The sequence below is a fragment of the Homo sapiens genome, chromosome 6 (genome assembly GCF_000001405.40).
Source record: "Homo sapiens chromosome 6, GRCh38.p14 Primary Assembly".
Lineage (NCBI taxonomy): Eukaryota > Metazoa > Chordata > Mammalia > Primates > Hominidae > Homo > Homo sapiens.
Genome location: NC_000006.12, coordinates 52469064 through 52487105, shown reverse-complemented (window position 1 = coordinate 52487105; position 18042 = coordinate 52469064). Strand labels below are relative to the sequence as shown.

Below are 18042 nucleotides of genomic sequence, written 5' to 3'. Positions count from 1 at the left end.
TGTAAGGGTAGAGTTGAGTAGTCATGCCAAAGAAGGTATGACCCACAAAGCCTAAACTACTTACTACCTGTCCCTTCACTTAAAAAAAAAAAAATTGCCAACCCTTGCTCTAGATTATGAGCTCCCTATTCTCTCATATAATTGCCTAAGCATTTAATATAAAGTTTGGTATATGGTATAAGCTCAAATATCTGTTGAATTAATGACTAAATGAGAAGAGTCCATTATACTTGGAAACAACCAATGACCTTCAAGAAAGCAATTTATGAAGCAGTCATTAAAAAAAGTCAAAAAGATTCTGGAGCAGTCAGGAGGAAAGTGGTTACAGACACAAAATAGAAGAATTAGATTTGAAGAAATAGGAGGAGTTACTTATCTCTGACAAAAGAAGGTAAAGAGAAGAAGAGTGATAGTAGAGAAACATTCTAAGATGAAGGGTGAGAAAACTGATGAAGCCCACATTGGATCATTTGATCTCATATTTGAAACCAATTACTTCTATCTCCTTAAAGAAAATGGAAAAGAAAATGAGAATATTTGGAAAATTCTCATGGGAAAAGTAGCTAGAAGTGAAAAAGAAAAGGATTAAAAAGATAATTGAGTAAGTGAGTAGGGTCCTCTTGAAGCTAAAGTGCACAAATAGGCATGTTAATGGAACAAGAATAATACATATGAACAAATGTGTGTATGTATCTATGCTATTCACACATGTGGATTTCCTGTGGAAGGTAGGTTAATAAGTGTGTGCATTTGCTGGCCTTAAGTCTTGAGTTCAAAATACTGCAGTGGAGGACCCCAAACCCAAAGAGAATTTAAGAACTTGAAGATGAAGTTAATACTCAGTTACCTATGCATTATTCTAATTTTCTGGCTCAGAGAAAGCAAATGGCCAACTCCAAATTTCATCATCTTAGAACTGACAATTGACATAAAAAGTACTGGTCTGACAAGTACTCATGATCCCCTTTCATGACTCTGCAATGAGTGGCAAAATATATTTGTAACTGCATTTCCTTAGATCGCGATTCTTTATCAGATGGGTGAGTCGGGAGCTAAACGCAGAATAGCTAAGAGGCACAGAAGATGCGACAGTGGATTTGTATCGTCTCCATGTGTTTTTCCTAACTCATCTCTCTGACCCATCACAAGAGAAGAAGGGCGGGGGTGAGGATCAAAATGAGGATGGCAATGGATCTCTTACCCCATGTCGTAGTCCATTTGTGTTGCTATGAAATAACTGAGGCTGGTAATTTATTTAAAAAAGAAAAGCAGGCTTATTTGGCTCAGAGTTCTGCAGACTGTATAAGGAACATGGTACCAACATTTGCTTCTAGTGAAAATGTCAGGCTGCTTCCCTTCATGGTGGAAGGGGAAGGGGAGCAGACATGTGCAGAGATCACATGATAAGAGAAGAGGCAAGAGAGAGAGAGTAGGTGGTGCCAGGCTCTTTTCAACAACAGTTCTCATGGGAACTACAAGTGAGAACTCATTCCTATGAGAATGGCACCAAGCTATTTATGATGGATCTGCCCTCAGGATCCAGACACCTTCCATGAGGCCCATCTCCAACAATGGGGATCAGATTTCAACATAAGGCTTCATGGGGCCAAACAAACCATATCTAAAACCATAGCTTGCTGGGGCCAAACAAACCATATCCATATGGCAACCTAAAATTTGAATTTCTCCTTATTTTTATTGATATCATATTCTAAGAGTCACAGTGGTATCTTTTCCTCATTACTACATTTTAAAAAACTTAAATTACTAAATTTAAAAAAATTTTAAAGATGATTTAATTAGTGGTATGCTGAAGCAAGAAGCTTTCCAGTGTCTGCTGGTATTTGCATAAACAAGTGACAATTACAGAAAAAAACTTTCGGGAAGTACTTGAATTAAATATATGACTATGAATATGAAGTGGGCCTTTAATGCTGTCCAACCACCAAACTACGCTTCTCTAGTCCGTTCAACCTCCCACTTTCCTGGAGAGCTATCATATTTGTTTAAGTCCTGAGGCATTTTTTTTTAAAGATGTGTCCATGAAATGAGACAATTTTTTTTTTTACATTTTAACATCTGTGGAATTAACATGCATTTTCAATTAATGATATGGATTATATTTGGCAATTTTTTCTTTCTTAGTAGTAGCTAAAATATGCTGTTTTAGATTTTATTTCATATTCATTTTATTGATATTTATATATTCAATAAAATAGAGCATTTCATAACTTCTCCTCTCTCTTGAAACCTCCAACATCTCCCTCTATCCTCACTGTTTCTACTGCACTACTATCACGAAACAATCACAAGGCCTCCCAATATCTACCCACCTACCAGAATCTGAACCCACATATGCTGCCTTTTGCCTGTTGCCCTAGATCAAGGTTTTAAAGAGTAATCCCAGGACTCTTGGAGGTTCCCAAGACCCTTCAGGGGTCTGTGAAGTCAAAATTATTCTTGTGATAATACTTAGTCATTATTTGTCTTTTTACTCTTGTTTTCCCATAAGTGCACAATGGAGTTTTCCAAAGGTCACACAACACAGGCTATCACCGCAGGCAGAATACAAAAGCACATGAAAATCCAGTCATCTTCTACTACTAAGTAAGTCAGACATTAAGAGGTTTGCAAAAATGTAAAGCAATATCACTCTTCTCACTAAATTTTTTTTGTTTGTAAAAACTGATTTTTCACAAAATTATGTTGTGTTGACATGAAATGGGTTTATCGTTTTCAAAATAAATTAATATTTGAAAATTTTTCAGATACAATTTCTAATATGCTAAATAGCAATAGATATAAACACATAAAAACTCTTTGGGGCCCTCAATAATTTTTAAGGGTATAAAGGTGTCTCAAGACCCGGAAGTTTGAGAAATACTGCCCTAGGTGAATAGTTGGTGCTTCTATCTGAAGCCAATTCCTCCACTCATACTAAACCCCATCCTCTCACAAACTCCAGAAATTGTCCCCGCTCTCTCACACACTTATCAATGTTTTCCTCTCTATGGAATCATTCCCATTAGCATACAAACATGCTATTTATTCTATGTAAAAACAAAAGCAAAAACAAAATAAAACAAAAACTTCTCCTGACTTCACTTTCTCTGCCAGCTGCTGCCCCATTTTTCTGTTGTCCCTTGCACCAAACCTCCCCAAAAGAGTAGTCTCCGCTCTGATCCAGAATTCCTCTCTCCCATTCTCTCTTAAATCTACTGCCATCAGGTTCTCCCCCTCTTCCCATTCCACTGAAACTCCTCATTAAGGTCTCCAAGGTCCCCAATTCCCTTAATATTGCTAAATCCCCATCTGACATAATGAATCATTCTGAGGTAGGAAGTGGGGCTCGACTCTGGAGGCTCGGCTCAGACACAGGGCCAAATTGAGGACTAGCTAAAATAGGTCTGGGGCAGAGGCAGCTTTCCATAAGACATGCCCACCAGTGCGCCATATCAGTTTACCATTGCCATGACAACATCCGGAAGTAACCACCCCTTTCCACAGCAACGACGCGAACACCTGGAAGTTACCACCCTTTTCCTGGAAATTTCTGCATAATATGAGTGCAGAACTGCCTTTGAGCTACAATTCTGGGCACAATGCCTATGGGGTATCCCTACTCTACAAGGAGCAGAACCTCAGCTGCTGCTGTACACTGTTGCTTAAAAACAGTTGCTGTTTAACAGCACCAGCTCTCCCTGGAATTCTTTCTTGGGAAAAGCCAATAACTCTCTCTGGCTGAGCCCTAATTTTGAAGCTCACCTGTCCTCCATCAAGTCTGTCTTCCTTGATATGATGGCATTTCTCAGTTTGCACAGTTACAAGATGCATGAATTTCGATTACCACCATTTAGTAAAATAACCCATTCCCCCAACAACATGGTTCAAATTTCAGTTAACACAGTTAATAACTATGAGTAATTGCATAAAGTACAAACTTATCTGTCAGGACTTTAGTCCACTAACCACAATGTAATTAAACAGATGCATATCACAATCAGTGACAATTACATCACTTCTTTCAAAGTCTGTTGGTGACTAGTCACTGTATATTTGTTTTATAGTTCACGCAGACAGTAAAGTGTGTAGCTATCTTGCCTCCTTGTCTCTCAGTGATACACAAACTTTATTTTACAAAAATGGAAAATCAAAAGAGAGAATTGGCCAATAAGGATGAAAGTACAGCAAAGATGCAAGAAGTGAATTCAAGTCAAATATAAATAGAGTTATAGAAGAGAAAGCTGACTGTAGGAATGTCGACACAGCTGCCTTTCAAGAGAATCTGGATGTGCAGCCAGTGGAAACTGGTGAAGGCAAACCTATCAACATAAATGAGAAAAGTGTTTGTAATAAAAAGAATGAAGATATCCCAGATGCCTATAAAATGCTTCACATTAAAAGAACTCTCAGAGATATTTCATTCTCATTAAAGGAAGTCTAAGACATATTTTATAACATTGAAAGCAAAAATCATAAAATGTTGGAAGTTGATCCAATCTTAAACAGGAATATGACAATTCACCAAGGCACAGAACAGACGTTCAGTCTGCATCATAAGTTATACAATGAGAAGTAGGCAAGTGCTGCTCAAACCACTTTTGATAAAGTTTTTATAAAGAAATAAAACACTTTAATTATTAATGTTATCAGTGTTTTAAATTACAATGTGCTAAGTAAAAATTAGTTTTACTATTTTTTCATGTCCTTATACATTTACAACCATAACATTTTTAATGCTGTGACAAATTTTTTTTTTTTTTGAGACGGAGACTTGCTCTGTCGCCCAGGCTGGAGTGCAGTGGCGCAATCTTGGCTCACTGCGACCTCCGCCTCCTGGGTTCAAGTGATTCTCCTGCCTCAGCCTCCTGAGTAGCTGGGATTATAGGTCTGCACCACCATGCCTAGCTAATTTTTTTGTATTTTTAGCAGAGACGGGGGTTCACCATGTTGGTCAGGCTGGTCTTGAACTCCTGACCTCATGATCCGCCCACCTCGGCCTCCCAAAGTGCTGGGATTACAGGCATGAGCCACCGCGCCTGGCAGTGACAAAAATTTTTAAAGGGCACAGAACAATTGTACATTTTCCCTTTGATTATTAAAATTGTTTTGCATGTTATTTTTTACAGTCCTATGCTACCCCTTCATTTGACATCCAGGATACCACATTTTCTTCCTGCTTTATTCGTTTTCCTTTTCAGTCTCCTTAACTGTAAGCGTTGGTGGACCCCAGAGCTTAGTTCTTAGAGCCATTCTTTTCTTTAGCTACATTAACTCCTTTAGAGATTTCACCCAGGCCAGGAGCAATGGCTCACGCCTGTAATCCTAGCACTTTGGGAGGCCAAGGAGGCAGAATCACTTGAGCCCAGGAGTTCTGGGCAACAAACTGAGACCCCTGTCTCTACTGAAAATTTAAAAATTAGCTAGGAATAGTGGTGTACACCTGTAGTTCCAGCTACTTGGGAAGCTGAACTCAAGGAGGATCTCAGGAGTTTGAGGCTGCAGTGAGCTATTATTCCACTATTGGCACTGCATGCCAGCCTGGGTACAGAGCGAGATCCTGTCGAGAGAGAGAGAGAGAGAGAGAGAGAGAGAGAGAGATCATGCAGTCTCACAGCCTAAAATATCACTATATGCCAACAACACCCACATTTACATCGCCAGCCCAGACCTCTCACTCAAACTCCAGATTTACATATCCAACAGACTATATGCTCTCTACTTGGCTGTCTTAAACCTAATATACGATATATCCAGAACTGAAATCCCCACCCCAACCAACAAAGAAGGCAACTGCTCTACCCACATCCCGCATCTTCCCCATCTCAGGTGATCACAATTTCTTCCTTCCTGTTCCTCAGGCCAAACATCTTGGAGTCATCCTTAATTATTCTTTTCCCCTCACATCCCCTAGAAAATCTATCTGAAGTCCAATTGGTGCTACCTTCAAAATACATCCAAATCAGACCACTTCTCCCCACCTCCACTGATACCACCATCCTGGGCCCAAACATCACCGTCTCTTGCCTGGAATACTGCAATAGTCTCTTAACTAATCTCTCTCCTAATCTACTTTCAACAAAACAGCCAGGATAGTTCTTTTAAAATATATGTCAAATCTTGCTACTCCTCTATTCAGATGCCCCTGCTCCCAATGGCTCATTTCATTCAGAGAAAAAAGCCAGCACCTTTCCAAAGACCTAGTAAGTCCTACACAATCTAGCCCATTGTTAATTTTCTAATTCCATCTCCTACTCCTCTTCCTCTCACTCACTCAATTTCAGCCACCCCCACTGGCCTACTTCTTCCCAATGTTCCTTGAGTACTTTAAGTAAAATATTGCTAGTATTTAGGGCCTTTGCATGCGCTATTTCCTCTTCCTGAAAAGCACTTCCTCCAGAAATCCACCCAGCTAACTCCCCTCAAGTGTTTGTTCATTGTCACCTCAAGGTACAACCACCTACCCTGACCTACCTTCACAACCTACTGCCACTCTCCAGAAACACTTATTACTCTTAATTTGCTCCAATTTTTACAGCATTCATCACCCAATATACTGTATAATTTATTTGTGTTATTGTCTATCTCCTGCTGCTTGGAAGGTCAACTCAATGTGGGCAGCAACTTCTTGTCTATTTTGTTTACTGATAAAAGTCCAAGGGCCTAGTGATAGTCTCTGACACATAATAGGCATTTAATAATTATAGCTGACTCTTGAACAACAAGAATTTGCATTGCACAGGCCCACTGAAACTTGGATTTTCTTCTGCTTTGCCACCCTTGAGACAGCAAAACCAACCCATCCTTCTCAGCCTACTCAACACGAAGATAAGGATGAAGACCTTTAAGATGATCCACTACCACTTAATGAATAGTAAATAATTTTCTCTTTCTTATTATTTTCTTAATTTTCTCTAGCTTACCGTATTGTAAGAATACAGGATGCAATACACATGACAGAAAATATGTGTTAATCAACTGTTTATGTTATCAGTAAGGCTTACAGTCAAGAGTAGGCTATTAGTAGTTAAGTTTTGGGGTGTCAAAAGTTATACATGAATTTTCAGCTGTGGAGGGAGGCTGGTACCCCTAACTCCCACATTGTTCAAGGGTCAACTGTATTTGCTAAACAAATGAAGTTGAAAAAGTTCTAAGTTACTAGCTATTACATTGACACAGGGAACCTTCTGTTTATATCTAATAATTCCCACCTGGTGAGAGAAATCAGAAAATCTAAAATGTGATTACTCATTTGTTTTCTCAAGAATTACTTCCTGAATATCTTGAGTGTGCCAAACCCTAGCAATCAAACACACACCTTTCTGCTTCTGGAGCAGGCGCTTCTCGCTTTCGGACATGGTTCTGAATTGACGCGAGTGCTTCTGGTGAATACTGGGCAGCGTTGCTCTCCATGTATTTCAAAACATACTCGTCTGTATCAAGGATGATGAACCGGTGACCAAACACTGGAGAGAAGGTAGCAACACACTTAGCTTGGTGATGTTCTCTCACGCAATCAGGAGTAAAATAGTATTAACCCTCCAATGATAAATTCACAGGTATGCATTTATGACAGAAACTAATGAGCTTTCTTTAAACGACATACTAATATGCAGTCGTTTGCTCAGTATTTACAAAACTTATTGTCGACATCTGTAGCCAACAAATGCAATCAACTTAAGAGTTTAATTGATTAGGAAGGCGATTAACACATTATACCATATATACAAGGATAGTAGCTTTATCTCAGTTGCAATACAATCTAATTGCCTCTTACAGGGTTAAATGAATTAAATTCCAATTAAGAACTCATTCAGGCAGCCAGTAGGAAATTCTGGACTGTGTTTAGACCTACCTTCAATCACAGCACCAATGAAGAAGTCACTGGGGCCATAGTAGACAGGGTTGTCCACTGTAGAGTATGGTTTAACAACTTTAGTCCTGCCAAGGTACTTGCCCCCAATGATACCAGAATTGCGAACAGGAGGCTCAAAGATACTGATCATGTCGGTAGCTAGAAAGTAAGAGAAGACAAATCTGCGGTCTTTGTCTTCTGGGATGGGGGATTCCTACAAAGGTGAAGAAAAGAGGATATTATGAAGGTTCATGGTCTATGCAGATGTGCCAACTTAAATGCCTATAGGGGCCAGGTATAGGATATAAATGAAGCAGTCTGGGTTTTTACAATATAAACAAACCATCTATGGGGAAACTCTGGTGTCTCTGGGAAGAACATGCCTCATCTAAGGGAAGCTTCCCAAGGGAGGCCGCACCAACTCAACTCAATTGTTGCCTTGTGAGAATGTAGGCCCAATGTTGCTAGATCTTTCAGTTTTTCAAAAGATAAAAATGTGGATTATTATTTTAAACCTCTGATTTTAAAGTACTGATTCCAACTCTTTTAAAGCACCATGAAGCCCAAACAAACACAGTATACTAGAACATATATGTGGGCTACATTCTGACCACAGGCTGCTAGTTGAGACCTGTTGGCTGACATTATGTTCAACTTCATGAACACTAAGATGATTATGCAAGGTTTCGTTTTTTAAGCAAATCAATTTATATACATAATGTAAAAAATAAAATTCAAAAAGAAGGGATAAGAGTAATATAAAATCAAAGAATTGAAAGTGATTCTGAGAAACTACCTTGTAGACAAGACTTTTTCTTTTTTTTTATTATAGTTTAAGTTTTAGGGTACATGTGCACATTGTGCAGGTTAGTTACATATGTATACATGTGCCATGCTGGTGCACTGCACCCACTAACTCGTCATCTAGCATTAGGTATATCTCCCAATGCTATCCCTCCCCCCTCCTCCCACCCCACCACAGTCCCCAGAGTGTGAAATTCCCCTTCCTGTGTCCATGTGATCTCATTGTTCAATTCCCACCTATGAGTGAGAATATGCGGTGTTTGGTTTTTTGTTCTTGCGATAGTTTACTGAGAATGATGATTTCCAATTTCATCCATGTCCCTACAAAGGACATGAACTCATCAATTTTATGGCTGCATAGTATTCCATGGTGTATATGTGCCACATTTTCTTAATCCAGTCTATCATTGTTGGACATTTGGGTTGGTTCCAAGTCTTTGCTATTGTGAATAATGCCGCAATAAACATACGTGTGCATGTGTCTTTATAGCAGCATGATTTATAGTCCTTTCGGTATATACCCAGTAATGGGATGGCTGGGTCAAATGGTATTTCCAGTTCTAGATCCCTGAGGAATCACCACACTGACTTCCACAATGGTTGAACTAGTCTACAGTCCCACCAACAGTGTAAAAGTGTTCCTATTTCTCCACATCCTCTCCAGCACCTGTTGTTTCCTGACCTTTTAATGACTGCCATTCTAACTGGTGTGAGATGGTATGTCTTTGTGGTTTTGATTTGCATTTCTCTGATGGCCAGTGATGATGAGCATTTTTTCATGTGTTTTTTGGCTGCATAAATGTCTTCTTTTGAGAAGTGTCTGTTCATGTCCTTTGCCCACTTTTTGATGGGGTTGTTTATTTTTTTCTTGTAAATCTGTTTGAGTTCATTGTAGATGCTGGATATTAGCCCTTTGTCAGATGAGACTTTTTCTAAATCAAATTGCAGAGTGATCACACAACCCCTAAGGAAGAAATTCCAGTTCCAACAAAACTTAATACAGATTTGTTTATTCCTGACTGAAATCCGCTCATATTGTAACTGTAGCACATCTTCTCATTAAGACCATGGGATTGTTTGTGTAATAATTCCTCATCTATTAAAAAAGTCATTAGATTTTTCTCTTAGTAAAATAATTTTCTCATATCATTCCTTCATCTAATAGTCTCCAAATCATTTGGATTGTACACCCATGTAATAAAAATATAAATGTTAAACAACTACAATATAGTTAAAATCAAATCATATCACTCCTCTGCTCTCAAACCTTCAAAGAATTTCTAGCACACTTAGAATAAAATACAAACTTCTAAGCAGGGGCATACCGGGGGGTTGGGGGGGACAATGGTAATGGTTTATTATGGCAGGAAAGAGTACTATAAAACTTTAAAAAAATTATTGTCTTTATTGGGAATGAGGTTTACATTTATAGAAAAGCATAAATATTACAGAGAATTATCACTCCCCTCACCAAGGTTCTCCTAATGTTAACATCCTATATAGCCATTAGTACAATTATCTGAACCAGGAAAATAACAATAGTACAATATTAGTAAATAAACTATGGTCCTTATTCAAATTTCACCCTGTTTCTCACAAATGCTCTTTTTGTTTCAGGATCCCATCCAGGATCCCACATTGCATTTAGTTATTATTTCTCTTTAGTCTCCTCCAATATGTGATAGATAGTTCCTCAATCTGCCCTTCTCTTTCATGACTTTGACGCTTTTGAAGACTACTCATCAATTATTTTCTTGAATGTTCCTCAGGCATCTCATTTTTGCATTTTTGGCAAAAGTAACCCAGAAAAGATACCATGTCTTTAGTGTATACCAGGGAGTTTATGATGTCAATATATCTTATTATGGATAACACTGACCTTGATCACTTGGTTAAGGTTTCTGCTGGATTTCTTCCCTTAAAGTTACCATATTTCCCTTTGCAATTACAAAACATCTTGGGGGAGATGTTTTGAGATTATGGGAATCCTGTTTCTCCTCAAAGGTTTTCCCACTAATTTTAGCAGCCATTGCTGGATCTTATCTGCAACCATGATTACAGCAGTGTGTGCCTAATGATAATTTTACTACTTCCCACTTTTCTTTTACATTAATTAACTGAAATTCTACTGTATGGAGGAGCCATCCCTTTGGGGATGAGTATCACTGATGTTGTTTAGAATTACAGGCACATGATAATAAGAAGAAACAGACCAACTTTTAGTTGGTTTTATTTTTAAATTCTCTGCAGCTTGTTATCTATACTTTCTTGTTACCTGGACTGCTCCCATCAGCCCATTCCTCTGGCCTTGTTATACCACTGGTTGCAGAGCCCTGGCTGGCCCCCGACCTGTCATTTCCACCTTTTTGCCCTCCATTCACTGCACACTGTCTCGGTCTTACATGAAGCTCTCTCAGGTATTCCCCTGGCTGGCTCCCTCAGCTATTCGTTTGGTTTCTGCTCTGCTATGACCTCCTCAGAGAGGCTTTCCCCATTCTGCTGATATAAATGAGCCCCTTCCCCATCATTCTCTGTCTCATTTTATTTTTTACAGCACATGTTACTACCTATCCTTATACAATGTATTTATTTGACTAGAATGTCAACTAGAATGTAAGCTCCATGAGAGCAAATATTTGTCTATCTTGTTCTCCACTGTACCTTTGGTATCTAGAACCATATCTAGCCCAGAGTAGTCCTTTAATATTTGTTGAATGAATTAATAATTAAACATATGTTCTTCTATATAAATATAGTTTGTGCATTAAAAGGCACATATAAAAATATCAGAGGCTATAAAATAAATGCACTCATAGTAAATAAAATAAACAGAGGCTGTAATATTTTCTTAACAAACACCACACATGGTACTGTCTTGCGTATCTCTTGGAAGACATTCAGCTGCTTTGAAGATTATGGTTCAAATCATGTTTCTGTTCTTCGAAAGCTTTGCCAAGTTTCTCAGCCAGCATTCCACTCTCAGTCCCAGAGAGTTTACCAGCATATTTTTACTTAGGCACCAATTGCCTACTAGGATTTAGTACATGTTATTTTCTCAGAACACATCCAGTGTCTTAGTCTGACCTCCATGGGATTTAATTAATTTGTCTCTGATCATTTCTATAGCATACTCCTTTCTTTTTGAATTTCCATATATTTTCTTTTGAAGTCCCCGCCTCACTCATAAACCTTTTCCCCTTATTGTCAAGCACCCTTTCTTCCTCAAGAACTTTTGTGATGAGTCTAATGAATACATTCTCTATTTCACCCAATAGGTCAGGGGAAAACATCTGAAAATTACCATGACCAGAATATCACCTCTTTTTTCCTGCCCACATAAAGATATCCACTATTTCTTTACTAATAGTTCTGTTGGCTTTCTTTTAATTTTTTTTACTGTGAGCAGTAACACAGAGAGAAAACTGCAAAAAAAAAAAACCCAAAACAACAATAAAAATATCAAAATGCACAGCCGAAAGAATTTTAATAAAGTAAACACCCATATAACCACCATCCAGGTTGAGAAACAGAACGCTGCCAGAACCTCCCAATCAATATTCTATCCTTCCCCCACCAAACAGGCCATTGCCTTGAATTGTATGGTTTTCTTTAGTTTTGCTACAAAGCAGACATCCATAAAGTTTTGTTTTGTCTGCTTTTTAATCTTCATATAAATGAATTACATAATATGTATGCATTCTTTTGTGTCTGGATTCTTACATTCAAAATTATGTTTATGTGATTTAGCCATGTTGTTATTAGTAGCTGTAGTTCCTTAATTTTCATTGAACAGAAATCAAATTATGACACAAATATACCACAACTTATCCAGTCTGTTGTAGGTAGACATTTAGGTCTATTTTTGCTATTATGAATTACGCTATTATAAACATTCTTATTTTTTGGTGAACATATATTGCACCCTTAGCACCATCTAGTAAATTTATTATGCCAAACTGTTTTACAAAGTGGGTATACTCTCTTAGTAAAGAGTATGAGAGTTCCTATGGTTACATATTCTCATCAACATATTAATGATTCTGATGGGTGGGTAGAGGCAACTCACTATGATTGTAATCTGCACTTCTTTAGTTACTAACGAAGCTAAGCAACTTCTCATATGTACATATTTTTAAAGACAGAGTCTCTGTTGCCCAGGTTGGAGTGCAGTGGCAGGATCATAGCTCACTACAGCTTCGAACTCCTGGGTTCAAGTGATCCTCCCGCCTTAGTGTCCCAGGTAACTGGGACTATAGGCACATGCCACCAAGCCCAATTAACTTATTTTTTTATCTTTGTAGCGATAGGGTCTCATTATGTTGCCCTATGACATAGGGTTCAAGTGATCTTCCTGCCTCCGCCTCCCAAAGTGCTGGGAAAACAGGTGTGAATCACTGCACCTGGCCCTTCTAATATGTTTAGTTGCCTCTTGGATATCCTCTTTTGTGAAATGCCTGTTCAAGTTTCTTGCTCATTTTTCTTAATGATTTCAGAGTGTTCTTTATATATTCTGAATATAAGATCTTGGTTGATTTCTGTATTAAACATCTGCTCCCACTTGAAGCTTGCCTTTTTTTACAATCTTAATGGTGTTTTTTGGAAGAACAGAAATTCTTTATCTTAATATAATCAAATTTATCCATTTTAATTAATTAATTAATTAAGGAGACAGAGCCTTTCTCTGCCACCCAGGCTGAAGTGAAGTGGCTCAGTCTCGGCTCACTGCAACCTCCGCCCCCCAGACTCAAGTGATTCTCCTGCCTCAGCCTCCCAAGTGGCTGGGACTACAGGCGTGCACTAACATGCCCAGCTAATTTTTTGTATTTTTAGTAGGGTCAGGGTTTCAACATGTTGGCCATACTGGTCTCAAACTCCTGAGCTGGGGCAGTCTGCCCACCTTGGTCTCCCAAAGTGCTGGGATTACAGGCATGAACCACCGTGCCCGGTCATTTATCCATTTTTAAAACATGACTGGTTTTTTGTATCCGACTAAATAAATCTTTCCCTACTATAATGTTAAGATTATTTATTGCTAAGAAGTTTTATTGTTTTACCTTTCACATTTAGATTTTCAATCTACCTAGACCTGATTTCCACTTTTGGAGTGAGATGGAGGTCAAATTTTCTTTTTTGTTACATGAATATCTGATTGTTTGATATCACTGATTAGAAACATCTTCCTTTCCCAGCCCCTCTGCAGTGCTGTATTTGTCATATGTCTTTTCCTGGGCTGTCTAATCTGTTCCATTGGTTTGTTTATCCTTGCACCAATAACATGTTATTTTAATTACTGTGACTTTTAATACACAGTGATATTTTTGTGAGCAAAATCCACTGATCTTGCTCTTCTCCAAGAGTATCTTGGCTATTCCTGGTGCTTTGCCTCTCCACTTAAATTATAGAATCAATTTGTCTGTAAAAATAAAAACATTTTTGGATTTTTTGACTTAATTTTAAACCATAGATCAATTTGGGGAAAATATTTTTATAATACTGAATTTTCTAGCCAATGAACATGGTATATCCCTTCATTTATTTAGGTCTTCTTAATTTTCTCTCAATAATATTTTAGGTGTTACATATTTTTGGTATGTAACATATCTTTTGTATGTAACACCTAAAAGATATGTAACACCTAAAGTGTTTTTGTATGTAACACCTAAAAGATATGTAACACCTAGGTGTTACATATCTCTTGTATGTAAAAGATATTACATATCTCTTGTATGTAAAAGATATTACATATCTCTTGTATGTAAAAGATATTACATATCTCTTGTATGTAAAAGATATTACATATCTCTTGTATGATAAAGATACATCTTTTAGGTGTTACATATCTTTTGTATGTAACACCTAAAATATTATACCAAGGAATTTAATTTATACCTAGGAATTTAATATTTTTGATGCTATAGTAAATGGTATTTTTTAACTTTATGTTTTCTTTGTTGCTATTTGTATATTGACTTCCCTAATGTAGAAGGTAGATTCTTTATTTTCTATATATACAATTGTTCATTTTGGATAATGACAATTTTATTTTTTCCTCTTCAATCCATATACTTGTTTATTCGCTTCCTGTTTCACTGTTCCAGCTAGGACTTCCAGAACAATGTGGACCAGAAGGGGTGATAGCAGTCTTGCCTTGTTCCTAATCTCAGAAAGTACCCTTTCGACATTTCATCACTAAGTAAGCTGTTTGCAGTAGACTTTTCATACATAACCTTTAACAGATAAAGGAAACCCCCTTTTATTCTTTTTTTTTATTAAAAGTTTTGTTTTCTTTCATTTTTACTTTTTTAAACTTTTATTTTAGGTTCAGGGGTATATGCGAGTTTTATTTTTAAATCATATTAGATTGATTTTAGCAAATGCTTTTCAAAATTTAATTTTTCTCTTTTATTCTGTTAATGTGATGATTTTTCAAAACTGAAATAGACTTTTTTGGCTTATTTCTCATCTTTTGCTGAAATTCTCAATCTTATTCTTTATCTCCTTAAACATGGTAAACAAAGGTTTTTAAAAATTTTTTTTTTAATTTTATTATTTAGTTATTTATTTATTTTATTTTATTTTTAGACGGAGTCTTGCTCTGTCGCCCAGGCTGGAGTACAGTGGCACAATCTTGGCTCACTGCAACTTCCACCTCCCAGGTTCAAGCGATTCTCATATCTCAGCCTCCTGAGTACCTGGGATTACAGGTGCATGCCACCATGCCTGGCTAATTTTTGTATTTTTTTAGTAGATGCAGGGTTTTAGCATGTTGGCCAGGCTGGTCTCAAATTCCTGACCTCAAGTGATCTGCCCTCCTTGGCCTCCCAAAGTGTTGGGATTACAGGTGTGAGCCACTGCTCCCGGCTTAAGTTTAAGTTTCATAGTGCCAGTATCTGAAATCCCTATAAGTATATTCTATTGTCTCTTATTTCTGGTCACTTTTCTTTATGTTATCTTGTCTTGTTTCTGAACATTGTATTATTAATATTGTTTTTGTGAGTGCCACACATTGTATTTTTAAAATTGTAGAAATAAATTGAAGCTGAAAATGATGTCATCTGCAGAGAATTTGTTTGCTTCTGACAGTCACCTGGGGTTATTATAATCCAGGATCACCTTAATCTGATTTGTAAAACTGAGACAATCAGGGACTATGATAATTCAAAGCCAGACAACAGTCCCTTCAAAGATTAGCTACAGACAGACTTAAGCACAGAGGGTTTCCCAGGAGCTTCTGCCTTTGACAGGCCCTAAATAGATTCCAATGTTTGTCCTCACAGGTGGGTCTTCTGGAATCAGCAAACACGCCTAGCGGAAAAATGAACCCAAATGTCAGGTTCACTTCTGCGGTTCTCATTGTTCCCCTGGTTCTTGCTCTGTGATTCTTCACATCTTGCTAGTTGTCCAGCACCTTCAAGTGCTAACACACATAAACATACACATACACACAAACATACACCTCAGCAAGAGGGCTGATCCAAATTATTTGGTCTATCATTGCTAGAAATAGAAGTTCTCTGTAAATGCTTTAACTTTTAGTGATATATCATGTTTGACCAGGTTGCTTGTGAGTACAGAAGGCTGCAATCAAAAGAAATTTATCTTTTCTCCTCATTTAGCAATATCTAACACTATTCATAGCCATTTTTGTAATCAACTTTGTATTAATTTTTCCAGGTTTTTCATTATCAAAGGTAAGCTTACAATTTTGCAGTTTACAGACTCATAGGAGTTCCTTTCCCTTTTCTAATCCTAAGTATTATACTGGTTCTTCATCAAAAGAATACTGGGTTGAAAGCCAGAAGGCTGAGTTCTAGTCCTACCCCTGTCTAAGCAGCACTGGACCTGGGACAAGACAATTAGCCTTTCTGTTTCTTAAGTTTTGAAACATAAAATGGGTACAATATTGTATTGCCTTACTCATGGATAATGTGTGCAGAAATAAATTCTTTTGCCTACTGAACGAACAGTTACTGAGTACCTACAAAGTCTAGAAGGACATGATTCCTGCCCTTAAGGAGTTATAGTTACCATATAATAATTCAACAAGCCGCTTGAATTTTAACAGTAACTGAAAGAATCTAGTACCACAAAACCTTTATTGGTCAGAATTCTTATGGAGAGTGTTCTAGTTGGCCTACATTTTGCTGTTTTGTTGTTTTCTTAAAAAATTTTGTTTTTAGCCAGAACTCTCTTTTTATTTAAAGCTTTGTGCAATCGTTTTCTAAAATCTATTATTCAGTTGTCTTCACCTTAGTTTTTATCTTTTCAAATACATGTATATAGTTTGAAAAGTCACCTGACACCTCCTACCCCCAGCTCCTAATTCCTATTCTGAGATATAACTTATTTCAACTTCTGCTATTTATGTTCATATTTCTAATAAAATGGTTAGGTTCCTATTCTACATTTTTTTTCCATTTTAAAGACCTTACACTTTGAATTTCTATCAGCAACTTCTCTCATACAATTCTGCTAATTAATGGGATATGCAGAATTTGAGTGTATGTCTATTTCCAACTCCATGCTCTTAACTATTAGTCACATAACCTCTCAAGATATCAGGCAAGATATCACAGATAAACGCAAAACTTACTAAGACATGGTCCCTAACCTCAAAGAAATCACAGTATACCAAAAAGCCACACAGATACACACATGGTTTGAATATTAAGCAATTTCATAGTTACTTAATAAAAGAGGCAAAAGATCTGTCAACATTTGAGGTGTAAGAGTGAGAGATTAATGATCTTAAGAAAGATTCTTGGGAGAGATAGGACTTGATCTAGGTCTTAGTTCAGGGGCACCATACTTAATACTATCCAACCTCCCTGAAGGCTGGGTACTAGATACAATGGTTGGTTGAGTCAACACATAACTCTGACAGCTGTTAATCTACAGCTTACAGATAAAATAAACAATTGTACACAGTACTGAGATAGAAGAGAATCTTTAGTATATAAAAATTAGCCTCACCAGTACAGCCAAATAACGAAGCACCTTGTTATCATTCACCAGCATTTTAATAACGTCTTTTTTTGGAGCTTTTGGAATGAGAGCAAAACAATTCTGAGCAGAATCTTCCACTAGTCCAAAACCGTTATAAGGAGGCAACTCCTGGAGATACATAGGAAGCAAGAAGTAAGGCAGATACTACTTGTGTTAAGATTACATTAAAGGTAACTATAAGTTTAAAGAAAAAACTCTAGAAAATACTTATGCAAATATATTTTCTACATAAACAAATATAGTCAGAAAATATAACATATCACTTATCCCCTTCCTCTGTGGATTTTGCATCATGTTCACTGATCACAGAAGTAACTGATGATGCTCTAAAGTAACTCTCAGGGCTACAGAGAAACTATTGCTGATGTCCACTGACC

At 37.3% G+C, this 18042-nt stretch overlaps 1 protein-coding gene across 3 annotated transcripts in view; it reads right to left on the bottom strand.

Annotated features, from left to right (window-relative positions):
* EFHC1 (EF-hand domain containing 1) overlaps positions 1–18042 on the bottom strand; it is a 76857-nt gene that overhangs the window by 10093 nt on the left and 48722 nt on the right. For all 3 annotated transcript variants that reach the window (NR_033327.2, NM_018100.4, NM_001172420.2), the window contains 3 exons: positions 17633–17773; positions 7856–8069; positions 7319–7466 (listed from right to left, as the gene is read on the bottom strand). Coding sequence is in view for 2 of the 3 variants with exons in the window: in NM_018100.4 (NP_060570.2) it covers positions 7319–7466; positions 7856–8069; positions 17633–17773 (503 nt within the window). In the remaining variant the exon portion in view is untranslated. The remainder of the gene's footprint in view (positions 1–7318; positions 7467–7855; positions 8070–17632; positions 17774–18042) is intronic.